Below are 19248 nucleotides of genomic sequence, written 5' to 3' on the forward strand. Positions count from 1 at the left end.
GAGTCAAGATCGAGCCACTGCACTCCAGCCTGGCGACAGAGTGAGACTCCATCTCAAAAAAAAAAAAAAAAAAAAAAGAGACAGAAGAGGAGACACAGACAGGGGAGGAGGCCACGTGGAGACGGAGGCAGAGACTGCAGTGAGGTGGCCACAGTCCCAGGGACGCCTGGAGCCCCCAGGAGCTCGAAGAGGCAGGAAGGATCCTCCCCTAGAGCTTCTAAAAGGAACCAAACCAAACTGCAGTGGGTTGAATGGGGATCCCCCAAAGACATGTCCAGGTCCTAAACCTTAGAATCCGTGAATAGGACCTCATTTGGAAATAGGGTCTTTGCAGATGTGTTTAAGGGAAGGATCTCAAAATGAAATCGCCTTGCATTGGAGTTGGACTCTAAATCCAATGAGGGGTGACCCCATAAGAGACAAAGAGGAGACACAGACACAGAGGAGGCCACGTGGAGATGGTGACAGAGACTGCAGTGAGGCGGCCACAAACCCAGGGACGCCTGGAGCCCCCAGGAGCTGGGAGAGGCAGGAAGGACCCTCCCCTAGAGCCTCCAGAGGGAGCACAGTCCTGAGACACCTGGATCTCAAGACTCCTGGTCTGCAGGCCTCAGAGAGGATACATTCCAGTTGTTTTAAGGCCCTCGGTTTGTTCTGTCCACCCCAAGAAACTACACACCCTACAAATGAGGACTCCAAGCCTCATTCTCCCGGCACCGCACGCCTGCAAACATAGGCATGGCCAGCAGGTGGCAGTCGAGTCCCCAAAAAGAAATTGCGTGGCTTAAGGTTCCGGGATTTGAATAAATACGGTAATAAAAATCCGGCGGGCGGATCACGAGGTCAGGAGTTCGAGACCAGCCTGGTCAACATGGTGAAACCCTGTCTCTACTAAAAATACAAAAAATTAGCCGGGGGTGGTGGCAGGCGCCTGTAGTCACTGCTACCGGGAGGCTGAGGCAGGAGAATGGCATGACCAGGGAGGCGGAGCTTACAGTGCTCTAAAAAAAAAAAAAAATCAGGCGGGCGGATCACAAGCTCAGGAGTTCGAGACCAGCCTGACCAACATGGTGAAACCCCGTCTGTACTAAAAATACAAAAAATTAGCCGGGGGTGGTGGCGGGTGCCTGTAATCCCAGCTACTCGGGAGGCTGAGACAGGAGAATCGATTGAACTCAGGAAGCAGAGGATGCAGCGAGCCAAGATCGCGCCACTGCACTCCAGCCTGAGCAACAAAGCGAGACTCCATCAAAAAAAAAAAAAAAAAAACCCACAGTGTAAGGGGTCCCAATGCAGACCTCAACAGAGGGTTCTTGGATGTCGTGCAAGAAATTATTCGAGCCAGGCGCGGTGGCTCACGCCTGTAATCCCAGCACTTTGGGAGGCTGAGGTGGGTGGATCACCAGAGATCAGGAGTTCGAGACCAGCCTGGCCAACATGGAGAAACCCCGTCTCTACTAAAAATACAAAAAATTAGCTGGGCGTGGTGGTGCACACCTGTAATCCCAGCTACTCGGGAGGCTGAGGCAGGAGAATCGCTTGAACCTGGGAGACGGAGGTTGCCGTGAGCCGAGATCGCGCCATTGTACTCCAGCCTGGGCAACAGGAGCAAAACTCTATCTCAAAAAAGAAAAGAAAAGAATCTCAAGAAAGAAAGAAGGGAGGGAGGGACGGAGGAAGGAAGGAAGGAAGGAGAGAGAGAGAGAGAGAGAGAGAGGGAGGGAGGGAGAGAGAGAGAGAAAGAAAGAAGGAAAAGAAAGAAAGAGAAAGAAAGAAAAAGAAAGAGAGAGAAGAGAAGAGACAGCCTGTACTACCCACCCGTTGAGTTGAGGGGTGAAGAGAAGAGAAGAGAGGAGAGGGGAGGGGAGAGGAGGGGAGAGGAGGGGAGGGGAGGGGAGGATAGGGGAGGGGAGGATAGGGGAGGGGAAGATAGGGGAGGGGAGGATAGGGGAGGGGAGGGGAGGATAGGGGAGGGGAGGATAGGGGAGGGGAGGATAGGGGAGGGGAGGGGAGGGGAGGGGAGGGGAGAAGAGAAGAGAGGAGAAGAGAGGACAAGAGCCTGTACTACCCACCCGTTGACTTGAGGGGGAAAGGGAGGGGAGGGGAATGGAGGGGAGAGGAGGAGAGGGGAGGGGAGGGGAATGGAGGGGGGAGAAGAAAAGAAAAGAGAAGAGGACAGCCTGTATTACCCACTCGTAGAGTTGAGGGGGGAGGGGAGGGGAGGGGAGGGGAGACTAGACGAGAGGAGGGGAGAGGAGAGGAGACGAGAGGAGAGGAGAGGAGACAGCCTGTACTACCCACCCCTTGAGTTGAGGGGTGCCGGAAAACCCCGGACTTTTCTTGTGGAGGTGGAGGGGAGGGATTCCAGGGTTAGTCACAGCTGTCACTTTTCTGCTTCTTGTTTCTGGCAGGGTTCACTGTCCTGGGTGCTTGATTCGTTACTAGCGATCCGGAGAAGAAAGGGTTAAAGGAATCCCTCCCCCACCCCTGGAATCCCTCCCCCACCCCTGGAATTCCAAAGGCGCAGCCAGGCTCGGATTTCCACGCGGGCGGTACTGAATTAACGGCTGGGCCCCGGCGCCTTTCTTTTAACTAATTACATCTGCAAGGGCCTTAATTCCAAACGAGGCGTCATTCCCGGAGACCAGAGGCGTTTGGAACTCAACGTATATACTTTGGGGCCGCGATCGAGGCGCGTCTCCCGTCTTCTGCCTCTGCGTGTCCTCAGCTGCAGAAAGGCCGCCCCTGAGCCTTCGGGTTTTCCTGGGGGGAGAGCTCATGAGGAACCCGTGTATGCCTAGCGTTCCATTATTGGAACGCTAAGCTTGTCTGAAGGCTGAAGGTCATCGCCAAGATCTGGTTTTTTACACCAAAAAAACTTGCAACCTCCGGCATAAATGGGCTTAAAGTGTCCGTGAGAGCTCATTAAACGACAGGCCCCGGGTCCCTGACCCCCCCCCCCACCAAGCCCTTGCTCTGGGACGCGCCTTGGACACGTCTGCAGATTCAGCCCTGGCCGGTTCAGCCCCCAGCGGCTGTCAGCAATGAAAGGGGTCCCAGAAAGGACTGGAAAAAGCAGATCACAACGGGAATCCCGAGGCAAGAATGCAGGAGCCAGGCTATCTGGCAAGCCTCAAATATAGCCAGCAGGTTGTGTTGATCCCGCATCACGGACGCTGTGAGCTGTGGAAGGAGCTTGGGATGAGGATTGCTGGGGATGCCTGCAGCTGTTTCTGCTGGAGCTGCCTCTGGGGCAGGAAGTGTCACGTTGCACCCCAGGAAGGTCTCTGTCCAGCGCAGACCACGTGGCCCTTCCTGGTGCTACTCAAGCCCTGGAGAGAGCCTCTAGGCTATTTGAGGTTCCTGGACTCCAGCTTTAGCCAGAGCCAGCTAGGAGGAGGCTGGGAGCTTGTTAAAGCCTGAAGGTAAGCCGGGTCAGGAAGTTGAGATTTGGAAACAGGCCTGATAGTCTGTGCTTCCTCTTCGGGGAAAAAGAGATGTTACAACGCGCTGGGCTCCACCCTCCCCCGAGAGCTTGCAGATTTCCGGCTTCTGAGGAGCTGCCCTACCACAGCTCCTTCTGTTGCTAGATAAGGGGTTGGGGTCACACCCTCCTCCCTTCTGTGGCTGGAGGGATGGTCTGTGGACAGAAGAATGTGTGGCCACAGGGAAAGTGAGCCAGTATCAGCAGAAAAACAAACTGAGGCTGGCACGGTGGCTCACTCCTGTCATCCCAGCACTTTAAGGCTGAGGTGGGCTGATCACGAGGTCATGAGTTCGAGACCAGCCTGGCCAACACAGTGAAACCCCTTCTCTACTAAAAATACAAAAATTAGCCGGGCATGGCGGTGGGTGCCTGTAATCCCAGCTACTGAGGAGGCTGAGGCAGGAGAATCGCTTGAACCCGGGAGGCGGAAGTTGCAGTGAGCCGAGATCGCACCACTGCCCTCCAGCTTGGATGACAGAGCGAGACTCCATCTCAAGAAAAAAAAGAAAAGGGAAAAGCAAACTGATATTGTCCCCAACATGCAGGATGGGGCATTCTCAACCTCGGCACTGCTGACATTGGGAGCGGGAGGATTCTCTGTGGTGGGGCTGTCCTGGGCACTGGTGGGTGTTGAGCAGCCGTCCTGGGATCCACACACCGGGGGCCAGGAGCAAACTTCCCAGGACTGACACCAAGGGTGTCCACAGATTGTCATTCTCTTGTGATTGTCTCTAGACATTGCCAAGTTTCCCCTGGGGGTAGAATTCTCCCTGGCCTGTGAACCACTGTTATAGATAGATGATACATAGATAGATGATAGCTAGATAGATAGCTAGATAGATAGATAGATAGATAGATAGATAGATAGATAGATAGATAGATGGAGTAGATAGAAAGATAGATAGACAGATAGACAGATAATAGATGGAAGAGAAGATGGACCGATATAATGAGTGATCATTACAGATATGATAGATGATAGGTGATAGGTAGACAGATGATAGATAGATCAATAGATAGATAAAACTTAGATGATAGATATAACAAATGATTATGATAGGTGATAGATACATAGATATCTATATAGATATATAGAGGGAGTAAATAGAAAGACACATAAATAATAGATGGAATAGAAGATCGATTGATATAATAAGTGATCATTATCAATATGATAGATGGTAGGTGATAGACAGATGGTAGACATATAGATAGATAAAACTTAGATGATAGATACAATAAATGATTATGATAGGTGATACATATCTATATAGATAGATATCTATATAGATATAGAGAGAGTAGATACAAAGAGAGACATAGATAATAGATGGAATAGAAGATTAATTGATATAAGTGATCATTATAGATACGATAGATAGTAGGTGATAGATGATAAACATATAGATAGATAAAACTTAGATGATAGATATAATAAATGATTATGATAGGTGATATCTAGGTAGATATCTATATAGACAGATATCTAGATAGATATCTAGAGAGAGTAGATACAAAGATAGAGGGACATAGATAATAAATGGAATAGAAGATCGATTGATATAATGAGTGATCATTATAGATATGATAGGTGATAGGTAGATAGATGATAGATAGACATATAGATAGATAAAACTGAGATGATAGATATAATAAATGATTATGATATCTATCCATATAGATATATCCATATAGATATGTCCACATAGATATACCCATATGGATATATCCACATAGATATACCCATATGGGTATATCCACATAGATATACCCATATGGGTATATCCACATAGATATACCCATATGGGTATATCCACATAGATATACCCATATGGGTATATCCACATAGATATACCCATATGGGTATATCCACATAGATATACCCATATGGGTATATCCACATAGATATATCCATATAGATATATCCACAGATATATCCACATAGATATATCCATATAGATATACATAGATATCTATCCATATAGATATATAGAGAGAGTAGATACAAAGAGAGCATAGACAAATAATAGATGTAATAGAAGATTAATTGATATAATAAGTAATCATTATAGATATGATAGATGGTAGGTGATAGGTAGACAGATGATAGATAATTGATAGATGATAGGGTAGATAATTGATAGGATAGATAAGTGATAGATGATAGATAGATAGATAGATAGATAGATAGATAGATAGATAGACAGACACATAGATAGATGCCGGGTGTGGTGGATCACGCCTGTAGTCCCAGCATTTTGGGAGGCCGAGGCGGGTGGATCACGAGGTCAGGAGTTCGAGACCATCCTGGCCAACATGGTGAAACCCCGTCTCTACTAAAAATACAAAAATTGGCCAGGCATGGTGATGCACGCCAGTAATCCCAGCTACTCAGGAGGCTGAGGCAAGAGAATGGCGTGAACCCGGGAGGCAGAGATTGCAGTGAGCAGAGGTCGCGCCACCTGCACTCAGGCCTGGTGACAGAGGAAGACTCCCTCTCAAAATAATAATGATAAACAAAGTGCTGGGATTACAGGCTTGAGCCACCACTCCCGGCCTGGGGCTGTAGTTTTCCATTTCTTTGTTCCAAAGGCCGGAGTCACCAGCTTATCTTAATTTGCCTTGTGGTCTACCTGCCAACCTTCCCACCACCCCACACAGGAAAACTCATTGAGTCTGCTTCAGCAGACAACACCCTGAGACTTTTCCCACTGGTGCCTTTACTTATTACAACGCCGAGCTGCTTCAGAGGCAGAACAGGCTTATCTGAGTCCTCAGACTTCTCTCCTTCCCAACAGCATCAACATTTTCCAGGAAAATCACGACTTGTGAATTTATTATTTTTATTTTATTTTATTTATTTTTTGAGATAGAATTTCACTCTTGTTGCCCAGGCTGGAGTGCAATGGCATGATCTCAGCTCACTGCAACGGCCACCTCCCAGGTTCAATCGATTCTCCTGCCTCAGCCTCCCGAGTAGCTGGGATTACAGCCAACTGCCACCACACCCAGCTATTTTTTTTGTATTTTTGTTAGAGATGGGGTTTCACCATGATGACCAGGCTGCTCTCGAACTCCTGACCTCAAGTGATCTGCCTGCCTCGGCCTCCCAGACTGCTGGGATTACAGGTGTGAGCCACTGCGCACGGCCCATGTGTAGATTTATTAAATGCCCCTGTTCGGCCTCCCAAAGTGCTGGGATTATAGGTGTGAGCCACCTCGCCCAACCCACCATCTAAAGTCTGTCTCTGAGCTTTACCTCATACCACCCCCCCTCCTGGTACCCATCCCTGCCCCTGAGAAAAGGGAGGTGAAGGAGACCAGGAACCACAGTTTTCAGCTAAGAGGAAACTCAGGTCAGAAAGTCCCTGCCTGGCCCACATCCCTCATTCTAAAGAGAGAACTGGGGCTTCCCAGCAAGGAACAAGGAGATGGCACAGACAAGGCTATGTCTGTTCAAACAGTGACATTCTCTGGGCCATGTGTCCATCAAGCAAAAGATATCACCATCCCCAGGTTCACAGACCAGGACAGGCACCTACAGGAAGCCGCTTACAGGTGCTGGGATGTATCTCAGAGCTCGGTCCTTTGAACACATCCCTCCGGGCCACGTTCTGGCGTTAGTACTGGAGGTTAAAGATTCACGGGACCATTGTTTCTGGAAAGGCAGGGAAGTATAAATAAACAAATGCTCAATGTCATCTGAAGGTGACGTACGAGGGAAGCGGAGAACTGAGAACTGGAGGCGGAGGGTTTCCAGTCATGGCAGAAGGCAAAGAACTGGGGCTTCCCAGCAAGGAACAAGCAGATGGCACAGACAAGGCCATGTCTGTAAAAGCAGTGACATTCTCTGGGCCATGTGTCCATCAAGCAAAAGATATCACCATCCCCATGTTCACAGACCAGGACAGGCACCTACAGGAAGCCGCTTACAGGTGCTGGGATGAATCTCAGAGCTCGGTCCTTTGAACACATCCCTCCAGGCCACGTTCTGGCCTTAGTACTGGAGGTTAAAGATTCACGGGACCATTGTTTCTGGAAAGGCAGGGAAGTATAAATAAACAAATGCTCAATATCATCTGAAGGTGACGTATGAGGGAAGCAGAGAACGGAGAACTGGAGGCGGAGGGTTTCCAGTCATGGCAGAAGGCAAAGAACTGGGGCTTCCCAGCAAGGAACAAGCAGATGGCACAGACAAGGCTATGTCTGTAAAAGCAGTGACATTCTCTGGGCCATGTGTCCATCAAGCAAAAGATATCACCATCCCCAGGTTCACAGACCAGGACAGGCACCTACAGGAAGCCGCTTACAGGTGCTGGGATGAATCTCAGAGCTCAGTCCTTTGAACACATTCCTCAGGGCCACGTTCTGGCCTTAGTACTGGAGGTTAAAGATTCACAGGACCATTGTTTCTGGAAAGGCAGGGAAGTATAAATAAACAAATGCTCAATGTCATCTGAAGGTGACATACGAGGAAAGTGGAGAACTGAGAACTGGAGGCGGAGGGTTTCCAGTCATGGTGCAAGGCAAAGGGGTAGAAGGAATTACATGGTGAGAAAGGAAGCGAGAGAGAAGCCAGGGTCTTTTTTATTTTTTTGAGACGGAGTCTCACTCTGTTGCCCAGGCTGGAGTGCAGTGGCGCGATCTTGGCTCACTGCAACCTCCGCCTCCCAGGTTCAAGCGATTCTCCTGCCTCAGCCTACTGAGTAGCTGGGACTACAGGCGCCTGCCACAGCGTCTGGCTAATTTTTTTTTTGTATTTTTGGTACAGACGGGGTTTCACCATGTTAGCCAGGATGGTCTCAATCTCCTGACCTCGTGATCCGCCCACCTCGGCCTCCCAAAGTGCTGGGATTACAGGCGTGAGCCACTGCGCCTGGCTTTTTTCTTTTTTTGAGACAGTCTCACTCTGTCACCAGGCTGCAGTGCAGTGGCGCAATCTCGGCTCACTGCAACCTCCACCTCCCGGGTTCATGCCATTTTCCTGCCTCAGCCTCCCAAGTAGCTGGGACTACAGGTGCCCACCACCACGCCCGGCTAATTTTGTGTATTTTTAGTAGAGATGGGGTTTCACCATGTTAGCCAGGATGGTAAAAGAACAAACTCTCACACGAATTCACAGAGGAGAGCTCATTTACTGTCTCATTACCTTGGGGACTGCACCAAGCTATTTACTAGGGATTCACCCCATGATCCAAACACCTACCACCAGACCCCACCCCCCAACATTGGGGATCCCATTTCAACATGATATTTGGAGGGTACAAACATACAAACTCTATCACCATCTCAATTTTTTTTTTTTAAAGAGGGAATCTTGCTCTGTTGCCGGGTTGGAGTGCAGTGGCAAGATCTCGGCTGATCGCAACCTCCACCTCCAGGGTTCAAGCGATTCACCTGCCTCAGCCTCCTGAGTAGGTGGGATTACAGGGATTACAGCTGCATGTCCATGGTGGGCTGTGGGATGGTGATAAAAGTAGGGACAGAGAAGTCTACGTTCAGCCAAGATGGAATCATGGAAATGCACTTTACCCTCCCATCTGAAACAATCAAGAAAAACGTGGAAAAATGCAACTGTGTTAATTTCTTTTTTTTCTTATTTCTTCTTCTTATTATTATTGAGACAGAGCTTCACTCTTGTAGCCCAGGCTGGAGTACAATGGCACAATTGCAGCTCACTGCCACCTCCACCTCCAGGGTTCAAGCGATTCTCCTGCCTCAGCCTCCTGAGTAGCTGGGATTACAGGCACGCACCACCACACCTGGCTAATTTTTGTATTTGTATTTGTATTATTGTTTTTTTTTTTTTTAAGATGGAGTCTCCCTCCCTCTTGTTGCCCAGGCTGGAGTGCAGTGGCGCGGTCTCAGCTCACTGCAACCTCTGCCTCTCGGGTTCAAGTGATTCTCCTGCCTCAGCCTCCTAACTGGGATTACAGGCACGCACCACCATGCCCAGCTAATTTTTTGTATTTTTAGTACAGATAGGGTTTCATCACTATACCCAGGGTGGTGTCCAACTCCTGAGCTCAGGCAATCCGCCCGCCTCGGCCTCCCAAAAGTGCTGGGATGACAGACGGGAGCCACACCAGGCTGGGCTGCTTCTGTACATTTTAGGTAGACGTGAGACATGAATCAAACATATTTAAGACACACATTGCTTCAGTCCGGAAAAATGGGGAAGCTCACAGCAAACGCTCCCAGGTAATAGGTAGATTTAAACATTTTGTGATTGGTAATTGTTTGAAATAATTTTTCTTTTTTTTTTCAGATGGAGTTTCACTCTTGTTGTCCAGGCTAGAGTGCGGTGGCATGATCTCAGCTCACTGCAACCTCTGCCTCCCGGGTTCAAACGATTCTCCTGCCTCAGCCTCCCGAATAGCTAGGATTACAGGCATGCACCACCATGCTCGGCTAAGTTTGTATTTTTAGTAGAGATGGGGTTATTTTTGAGGTGGAGTCTCACTCTGTCACCCAGGCTGGAGTGCAGTGGCATGGTATCAGCTCACTGCAAACTCTGCCTCCCTGGTTCAAGAAATTCTCCTGCCTCAGCCTTCCAAGAAGCTGGGACCACAGGCACCCGCCACCATGCCCGGCTAATTTTTGTATTTTTAGTAGAAACAGGGTTTCACCGTGTTAGCCAGGATGGTCTCGATCTCCTGACCTTGTGATCTGCCTGCCTCGGCCTCCCAAAGTGCTTGGATTACAGGTGTGAGCCACTGCGCCCGGCCTATTTGTTTTATTTTATTTTTGAGGTGGAATCTTGCTCTGTTGCCCAGGCTGGAGTGCAATGGCGTGATCTCGGTTCACCACAACCTCCGCCTTCTGGGTTCAAGCGATTCTCCTGCCTCAGCCTCCCTAGTAGCTGGGACTACAGGCGCCCGCCACCACGCCCGGCTAATTTTGTATTTTTAGTAGAGACGGGGTTTCTCCATGTTGGTCAGGCTGGTCTCGAACTCCCAACCTCAGGTGATTCACCCTCCTCGGCCTCCCAAAGTGCTGGGATGACAGGCGTTAGCCATTGTGCCTGGCCGAGAATTATTATCAATAGAAAAGAATGTCTGGGTTATAATGGTATAGGGTTTGGGGACCAAGGTTTTATCAAGCAGATGACGCCTCCAGGGAGCAGGCTTCAGAGAGACTAGATTGTAAATGTTTCTCCTTTTGTTTTTGTTTTTGTTTTTTTTTTTTGAGACAGAGTGTTGCTCTATCACCCAGGCTGGAGTGAAGTAGCATGATCTCGGCTCACTGCAACCTCCGCTTCCCGGGTTCAAGTGATTCTTCTGCCTCAGCCTCCCAAGTAGCTGGGATTACAGGTGCCACCGTGCCTGGCTAATTTCTGTATTTTTTGTATTTTTTGTAGCCACCGGACCCAGCCAATTGTAAATATTTCTTTTTCAGACTTAAGATCTGTGTTAGGCCGGGCGCGGTGGCTGAAGCCTGTAATCCCAGCACTTTGGGAGGCCGAGGAGGGCGGATCTCCTGAGGTCAGGAGTTCAAGACCAGCCTGGCCAACATGGGAGGTTGAGGCAGGAGAATGGCGTGAACCCGGAAGGCGGAGCTTGCAGTGAGCCGAGATCGTGCCACTGCACTCCAGCCTGGGCCACAGAGCGAGACTCCGTCTAAAATAAATAAATAAATAAAAATAGGACTCTGATTTTCCCTCCCCTTTTCTGTGTAAAAACTGGCCATAAGGAAATTCCATGACCTCCCTTGTTTGTCTGAAGATCCTAAGATTTCCATTCCAGAGAGGAACAGGAATTCCGTTCTTTTCTTCTGCCCCACACCCAGAAGAAAAGGAGCTCTGCTGAGAGACACCAAGAAGAATCTAGAAAGACAGGCCTGGCTGGATTTCCTCACTCATTCATTAGCCTTAGATCAGGCCTTTTTCCACCAATTCTGCTTCTACACAGGTGTCCAGACTGTGTTAAACCTAAGCTTAAAAATGAACAGTTTCACGCCTGTCACGGTGGCTCACGCCTGTCATCCCAGCACTTTGGGAGGCCGAGGCGGGTGGATCACGAGGTCAAGAGATCGAGACCATCCTGGCCAACATGGTGAAACCCCGTCTCTACTAAAACTACATAAATTAGCCAGGCGTGGTGGTGTGTGCCTGTCATCCCAGCTGCACTCAGGAGGCTGAGGCAGGAGAATCGCTTGAACCTGGGAGGTGGAGGTTGCGGTGAGCTGAGATCAAACCACTGCCCTCCGACCTGGGTGACAGAGTGAGACTCAGTCTCAAAAAAAAGAATCTGCCAAGATCATGTATCACTCTGTGGTTTTTCTGCAGACAGATCATTTGGGCCCAGGAGTTCGAGACCAGTCTGGGCAACATAGTGAGACTTTGTGTGTACAGATAAGTTTTTTTATAAAATTGCCCGGGCACGGTGATCCCAACCTGTCATCCCAGCACTTTGCGAGGCCAAGACAGGCGGATCACGTGACGTAGGAGTTCGATACCAGCCTGGCCAACGGGGTGCAACCCCGTCTCTACTAAAAATACAAAAAATTAGCCGGGCGTGTTGGCGGGCGCCTGTAGTCCCAGCTACTTGGAGGCTGAGGCAGCAGAATGGCGTGAACCCAGGAGGCAGAGCTTGCAGTGAGCCAAGATCGTGCCACTGCACTCCAGCCTGGGAGACAGCGAGACTCTGTCTCAAAAAAAAAAAAAAAAAAATTGCCTGGATACCATGATCCCAGCCTGTCATCCCAGCACTTTGCGAGGCCAAGAGAGGCAGATCACATGAGGTAGGAGTTCAAGACCAGCCTGGCCAACAGGGTGCAACCCCGTCTCTACTAAAAATACAAAAATTAGCTGGGCATGTCGCTGCATGCCTGTAATCCCAGCTACTCAGGAGGCTGAGGTATGAGAATCACTTGAACCCGGAGGCAGAGATTGCAATGTGTTGAGATCACACCACTGTACTCCATCCTGGGGGACAGAGTGAGACCCTGTCTCAAAAAAAAAAAAAAAAAAACAAGAGAAAAGAAGAGAAAAAACAGAGGTTTATAGCATCTCCACAGGCTCCTGTTATCACTAATGTAAACCACAAATAAAATTTGAATGCTTGCTCAACTATCTGAATGGATCCCTTCCCTCAACTAAGGACATTTGAAAGTTAAGGCCGGGCGCGGTGGCTCACGCCTGTAATCCCAGCACTTTGGGAGGCCGAGGCGGGGGGATCATGAGGTCAGGAGTTCCAGACCAGCCTGGCCAATATAGTCAAACCCCGTCACTACTAAAAATACAAAAAATTAGGTTGGCGTGGGGGCAGGTGCCTGTAATCACGGCTACTCAAGAGGCTGAGGCAGGAGAATGGAGTGAACCCAGGAGGCAGAGCTTGCAGTGAGCCAAGATTGCGCCACTGCCCTCCAGCCTGGGTGACAGAGTGAGACTCTGTCTCAAAAAAAAAAAAAAAAAAGTTAACCTGAAAGTCCACTTCAGGCCGTCATGGAAAGTGGGGCCGGACATGCCTCATTACAGCCTCCTGCCTTTAGAATTCAGGCACAGCTGAGCAGCATTCACGTGAAAACCAAGATCATAAGATTCACAAAACAGGCCGGCACAGCGGCTCATGCCTGTAATCCCAGCACTTTGGGAGGCAGAGGCAGGCGGATCACCTGAGGTCCGGAGTTCGAGACCAGCCTGGCTAACACGGTGAGCCCCCTCTTCCCCCATCTCTACTAAAAATACAAAAAAAAAAAAATTAGTCAGGCGTGATGGCACATGCCTGTGATCCCAGCTACTTGGGAGGCTGAGGCAGGAGAATCGCTTGAACCCGGGAGGCGGAGGTTGTAGTGAGCCGAGATTGCACCACTGCACTCCAGCCTGGGCAACAGAGCGAGAGTCCGTCTCAAAAAACAAAACAAAACAAAACAAAACAGTAGCTAATAAGTAGCCTCTGAAAAGGACATCAGTTTCGGAGTTTTTGGCCCAAACCTGGGAGAATAATAAGACGTGGGGAATTCTTTCTGTGGGCAGAAGAGCATGCAGAGCGGGAAACCCAGTCTCCGTTTCTTGGAAAGCCTGTTTCTCATCTGTTCTCAGAACCTTTCTCTCAGCCACTAACCTTTAGGATAAACTGCCAGACAAGGGAGATTTGAAATCCTGCAACTCACAGCTTCCAGGTAATCCTCGGTCCTAGAGAAGTAGAAACCGACCCCTCTGGGCCATGGGATTTTGGTTCTGGAAGTTCTGTGGGCTCCAGAGGAATGAGGGTTTTTTGGTTTTTGGTTTTTGTTATGAGACGGAGTTTCACTCTTGTCACCCAGGCTGGAGTGCAGTGGCACGATCTCGGCTCACTGCAACCTCCGCCTCCCGGGTTCAAGAGATTCTCCTGCCTCAGCCTCCCGAGTTTCTGGGAGTACAGGTGCCTGCCACCACGCCTGGCTAATTTTTCTTTCTTTTTTTGTTTCTGTATTTTTAGTAGAGACAGGGTTTTGCCATGTTGGCCAGCCTGGTCTCGAACTCCTGACCTCAAGTGATCCACCCGTCTCGGCCTCCCAAAGTGCTGGGATTACAGGCGTGAGCCACTGCGCCCGGTCAGAAACAGGGTTTTTCTTTTGTTTTGTTTTTATGTTTTCAGACGGAGTTTCACTCTTGTTGCCCAGGCTGGAATGCAGTGGCACAATCTCGGCTCACTGCAACCTCTGCCTCCCAGGTTCCAGAGACTCTCCTGCCCCAGCCTCCTGAGTTTCTAGGAGTACAGGTGCCTGCCCCCACGCCCGGCTAATTTTTCTTTTTTGTTTTTGTATTTTTATTTGAGACACGGTTTCACCATGTTGGCCAGCCTGGTCTTGAACTCCTGACCTCAAGTGATCCACCCCTCTCGGCCTCCCAAAGTGCTGGGATTACAGGCGTGAGCCACTGCGCCCGGTTAGCAAGAGATTTTTGTTGTTTTTTTTTTTTGTTTTATGTTTTGAGATGGAGTTTCACTCTCCTCACCCAGGCTGGAGTGTAGTGGCACGATCTCAGCTCACTGCAACCTCCACTTCCGGGTTCAAGCGATTCCCCTGCCTCAGCCTCGCGAGTAGCTGGGATTACAGGCGCCCACCACCACACCCAGCTGATTTTTGTATTTTTAGTAGAGACGGGGTTTCTCCCTGTGGGTCAGGCTGGTCTCGAACTCCTGACCTCAGGTGATCCGCTCCCCTCGGCCTCCCAAAGTGCTGGGATGACAGGGTAAGCCATTGCACCCGGCCTTTTTTTGATATTTTTAGTAGAGATGGTGTTTCCCCATGTTGGCCAGGCTGGTCTCGAGCTCCTGACCTCAACTGATCCACCTGTCTCGGCCTCCCAAAGTGCTGGGATTACAGGCGTCAGTCAATGAGCCCGGTCAGCAAGAGATTGTTTTTGTTTTGTTTTGTTTTGTTTTATGTTTTGAGATGGAGTTTCACTCTTGTCGTCCAGGCTGGAGTGCAGTGGCATGAACTCAGCTCACTGCAACCTCCGCCTCCCAGGTTCAGGTGATTCTCCTGCCTCAGCCTCCCGAGTAGCTGGGATTACAGGCGCCCGCCATCACGCCCGGCTAATATTTCTTTGGTGTTTTTAGTAAGAGATGGTGTTTCACCATGTTGGCCAGGCTGGTCTTGAACTCCTGACCTCGTGATCTGCCCACCTCAACCTCCCAAAGTGCTGGGATTACAGGCGTGAGCCAGCGAGCCTGGACCAGAAGCTTGAGCTTTTTGTCATGGAGAATTTCCAGTTGGGAAGGAGTTATCTGGACAGGATCATTCTGATCACGGTGCCCCAGGGAGACCCCTGTGAGGGGCGCTTTCTGTCATGTAGAGAACAAAGAACAGCCTGAATGAGAAGCTCTCTGGCAGCATCATCAATGCTCCCAACCCGGCAGAGGGCAGGTGCTCTGCAGACCCCTCCCCACAGCTGAATGGTTTCTCCCTGGGGAAGCTGAGCCCCCCTCCTTGCCCCTTAATCCCATTCCCCTGAGAGCAGAGCTTCTATTTCTTTTTTTTTCTTTTCTTTTCTCTTTTCTTTTCTTTTTTTCTTTTCTTTCTTTCTTTTTCTTTTTTTTTCTTTTTTTTTTTTTTTTGAGACAAAGTCTCTCGCTCCTGTTCCCCAGGCTGGAGTGCAATGGTGCGATCTCAGCTCACTGCAACCTCTGTCTCCCGGGTTCAAGCAATTCTCCTGCCTCAGCCCCCCGAATAGCTGGGATGACAGGTGGCTGCCACCATGCCCGGCTAATTTTTCTATTTTTAGTAGAGACAGGGTTTCACTATGTTGGCCATGCTGGTCTGTAACTCCTCTGACCTCAGGTGATCCTCCCGCCTCCACCTCCCAAAGTGCTGGGATGACAGGCGTGAGCCACCGCGGCCAGCCCAGAGCTTTTATTTCTTATCTCTGCATTCCCCCAACTCAATCTTCTCCCCAGCTCCCCTGCTCCCCTACTCCACCTCCTCCCCAACCCACCTCCTCCTTCACCTGCTTCTAGCCCCTTCCACGAAAGCTGATGTCCCTTGTGAAAGAAAAATAAATCGCCAGGCGCGGTGGCTCACGCCTGTCATCCCAGCACTTTGGGAGGCCGAGGCGGGCGGATCACGAGGTCAGGAGATCGAGACCATCCTGGCTAACACGGTGAAACCCCATCTCTACTAAAAATACAAAAACTTAGCCAGGCGTGGTGGCGGGCGCCTGTAGTCCCAGCTACGCAGGAGGCTGAGGCAGGAGAATGGCGTGAACACGGGAGGTGGAGCTTGCAGTGAGCCCAGATCGAGCCACTGCACTCCAGCCTGGGCGAGAAGAAAGAAAAATAAATCTCTGGGCCCCGCTGGGAACTGCTTAGGGCCTCTCCCTCTCATTCTATTCAAAGTGACCGTCTGTGCTCACTGAGATAGATGCATATCTAATTGCCTCCTTTAGAGAGGCTAACCAGAAACTCAAAAGAATGCAGCCATTTGGGAGGCAGACAGGGGCAGATCACCTGAGGTCAGAGGTGTGAGCCACTGCCCCTGGCCCATCTTGCTTATGTTGATTGATTTCTTATGTATCCCTAGAATGTATAAAACCCAACTGTGAGGCCGGATGCGGTGACTCGCCTGTAATCCCAGCACTTTGGGAGGCCAAGCGGGCGGATCACGAGGTCAGGAGATCGAGACCAGCCTGGCAACCATGGTGAAACCCAGTCTCTACTAAAAATACAACAACTTAGCTTGGTGTGGTGGTGGACGCCTGTAGTCCCAGCTACTCGGGAGGCTGAGGCAGGAGAATGGCGTGAACCCAGGAGGTGGAGCTTGCAGTGAGCCGAGATCGCGCCACTGCACTCCAGCCTGGGCGACAGAGTGAGACTCCTTCTCAAAATTAAAAAAAAAAAAAGAGAAGAAATTCAGTTCGTGGTGTAATTCTGAAACAAAATGGAAAACAGCCCCTTTCCCTAAGAGCTAAGGTCCAGTCTGCCTTCACAGGACTCACAAATTAGCTACAAAATTAGAAATTACAGTTTAGGGCTCCTGCAGGAGTATGTCACTGTTGTAAAACTAAGATCGATGCTTGAGATGTTTTGCAGAGCCTGCATCTGGCGGATCGGCTGACACCACCTAGACTGGCCATCTGGCAAAACCAGTTCTGCCATCCCATCCAGGAACAGAAAACAACAAGAAAAACTCACTTCAGGCCGGGGTGCAGTGGCTCACACCTGTAATCCTAGCACTTTGGGAGGCCGAGGCGGGCGGATCACAAGGTCAGGAGATAGAGACCAGCCTGGCTAACATGGTGAAACCCCGTCTCTACTAAAAATACAAAAACTTAGCCAGGTGTGGTGGCGGGTGCCTGTAATCCCAGCTACTCAGGAGGCTGAGGTAGGAGAATCGCATGAACCCGGGAGGCGGAGATTGCAGTGAGCCGAGATTGCACCATTGCACTCCAGCCTGGGAGAGAGTGCAAAACTCCGTCTAAAAAGAAAAGAAAAGAAAAATGCTTAAGGTGCTTTGTGAGGGTCGGATGAATACAATTGAATGGATCTGGCCCTAAGCTGGGAGTGAGCCGTGAGATACGAGCCATTATATCACGGTGTGCATCTGGTGTGCCATCTGGTTGAACTCGGGAATTTAAAGTTCTCCACATTGATGGTGAAACTCAGAAACAAGGTGTGAGCCATTGACAAGAAGTAGTATAACAGTGCCAGTTCCAGCAGCCTTGGTGAACCGTCTGGTTGAGCTCTTGGGAAGATAAACTTCTCTACATCAATGTCAAAAGGAAGATATGAGCCTTTGACAAGAATATCCACCATGATGCCCAGTTCCAGCAGCCTGGGTGAGCCATCTGGTTGAGCTCTTGGGAAGATAAACTTCTCTACATCAATGTCAACAAGAAGATATGAGCCTTTGACAAAAAGATCCACCATGATGCCCAGTTCCAGCAGCCTGGGTGAGCCATCTGGTTGAGCTCTTGGGAAGATAAACTTCTCTACATCAATGTCAACAAGAAGATATGAGCCTTTGACAAAAAGATCCACCGTGATGCCCAGTTCCAGCAGCCTGGCTGAGCCATCTGGTTGAGCTCTTGGGAAGATAAGCTTCTCTACATCAATGTCAACAAGAAGATATGAGCCTTTGACAAAAAGATCCACCGTGATGCCCAGTTCCAGCAGCCTGGCTGAGCCATCTGGTTGAGCTCTTGGGAAGATAAACTTCTCTACATCAATGTCAACAAGAAGATATGAGCCTTTGACAAAAAGATCCACCATGATGCCCAGTTCCAGCAGCCTGGCTGAGCCATCTGGTTGAGCTCTTGGGAAGATAAACTTCTCTACATCAATGTCAACAAGAAGATATGAGCCTTTGACAAAAAGATCCACCATGATGCCCAGTTCCAGCAGCCTGGCTGAGCCATCTGGTTGAGCTCTTGGGAAGATAAACTTCTCTACATCAATGTCAACAAGAAGATATGAGCCTTTGACAAAAAGATCCACCATGATGCCCAGTTCCAGCAGCCTGGCTGAGCCATCTGGTTGAATTCTTGGGAAGATAAACTTCTTTACATTGATGTCAACAACAGGGCATGATTCATTAAAGACAAAAAGGCCCATTATTGTGCCCACTTCCAGCAGCCTTGGTGAGTCATCTGATTTGGCTCTTGGAAAGACAAACTTCTCTACATGAATGGTGAAAGTCAGAAACAGGGTATGAGCCATTGACAAGCAGACCCACTATAGTTTGCAGTTTGAGCCTTGGTAAGCCATCTGGTTGAACTCTTGGAAAGTTAAATTTCTCTACATCGATGTCAGCAACAAAGTATGAGCCATTCACAAGAAGATCCACCATGGTGGCCATTTCCAGCAGCCTTCGTGAGCCACCTGCTTGAGCTCTTGGGAGATAACCTTCTCTACATCAATTCTGGAGAGAGGCAGCATGCTACAGTTTGGATACGGTTTGTTTGGTCCTGCCAGGTTTCATGTTGAAATTTGACCCCCTGTGTGGTAGGTGGGACCTGGTGGGAGATGTTTAAACCATGTGGGTGAATCCCGTATGAATGGCTTGGTCCTGCCCCCATAGTCATGAGTGAGTTCTCATTCTCAGTTTCCAGGAGAGCTGGTTGTTGAAAAGACCCTGGCACCTCCCCCCGCTCTCTCTTGCTTCCTTTCTGCCCATGTGGTCTCTCCACACACAATGTCTTCCCTTCACTTTCTGTCATGACTGGAAGCAGCGTGACGTCCTCACCACAAGCAGGTCCAAACACCACGCTTCCTGGACAACCTGGAGAACCACTATGAGCCGAATAAATAATCTCTTTTTTTTTTTACCTTTTTTTAAAA

At 49.5% G+C, this 19248-nt stretch overlaps 4 annotated features.

Annotated features, from left to right (window-relative positions):
- Positions 2323-2839: an enhancer, noted in NCBI's record as "H3K27ac-H3K4me1 hESC enhancer chrX:1367406-1367922 (GRCh37/hg19 assembly coordinates)". NCBI's record gives its function as "activates a minimal SCP1, AML or CMV promoter by ChIP-STARR-seq in primed H9 embryonic stem cells {active_cell/tissue: H9 hESC(primed)}" and the evidence as "EXISTENCE:reporter gene assay evidence [ECO:0000049][PMID:30033119]".
- Positions 2323-2850: a biological region, named in NCBI's record as "H3K27ac-H3K4me1 hESC enhancers GRCh37_chrX:1367406-1367922 and GRCh37_chrY:1317424-1317933".
- Positions 2341-2850: an enhancer, noted in NCBI's record as "H3K27ac-H3K4me1 hESC enhancer chrY:1317424-1317933 (GRCh37/hg19 assembly coordinates)". NCBI's record gives its function as "activates a minimal SCP1, AML or CMV promoter by ChIP-STARR-seq in primed H9 embryonic stem cells {active_cell/tissue: H9 hESC(primed)}" and the evidence as "EXISTENCE:reporter gene assay evidence [ECO:0000049][PMID:30033119]".
- Positions 15002-15511: an enhancer, noted in NCBI's record as "NANOG hESC enhancer chrY:1330085-1330594 (GRCh37/hg19 assembly coordinates)". NCBI's record gives its function as "activates a minimal SCP1, AML or CMV promoter by ChIP-STARR-seq in naive H9 embryonic stem cells {active_cell/tissue: H9 hESC(naive)}" and the evidence as "EXISTENCE:reporter gene assay evidence [ECO:0000049][PMID:30033119]".

Source organism: Homo sapiens, chromosome Y, assembly GCF_000001405.40.
Source record: "Homo sapiens chromosome Y, GRCh38.p14 Primary Assembly".
Taxonomy (NCBI): domain Eukaryota; kingdom Metazoa; phylum Chordata; class Mammalia; order Primates; family Hominidae; genus Homo; species Homo sapiens.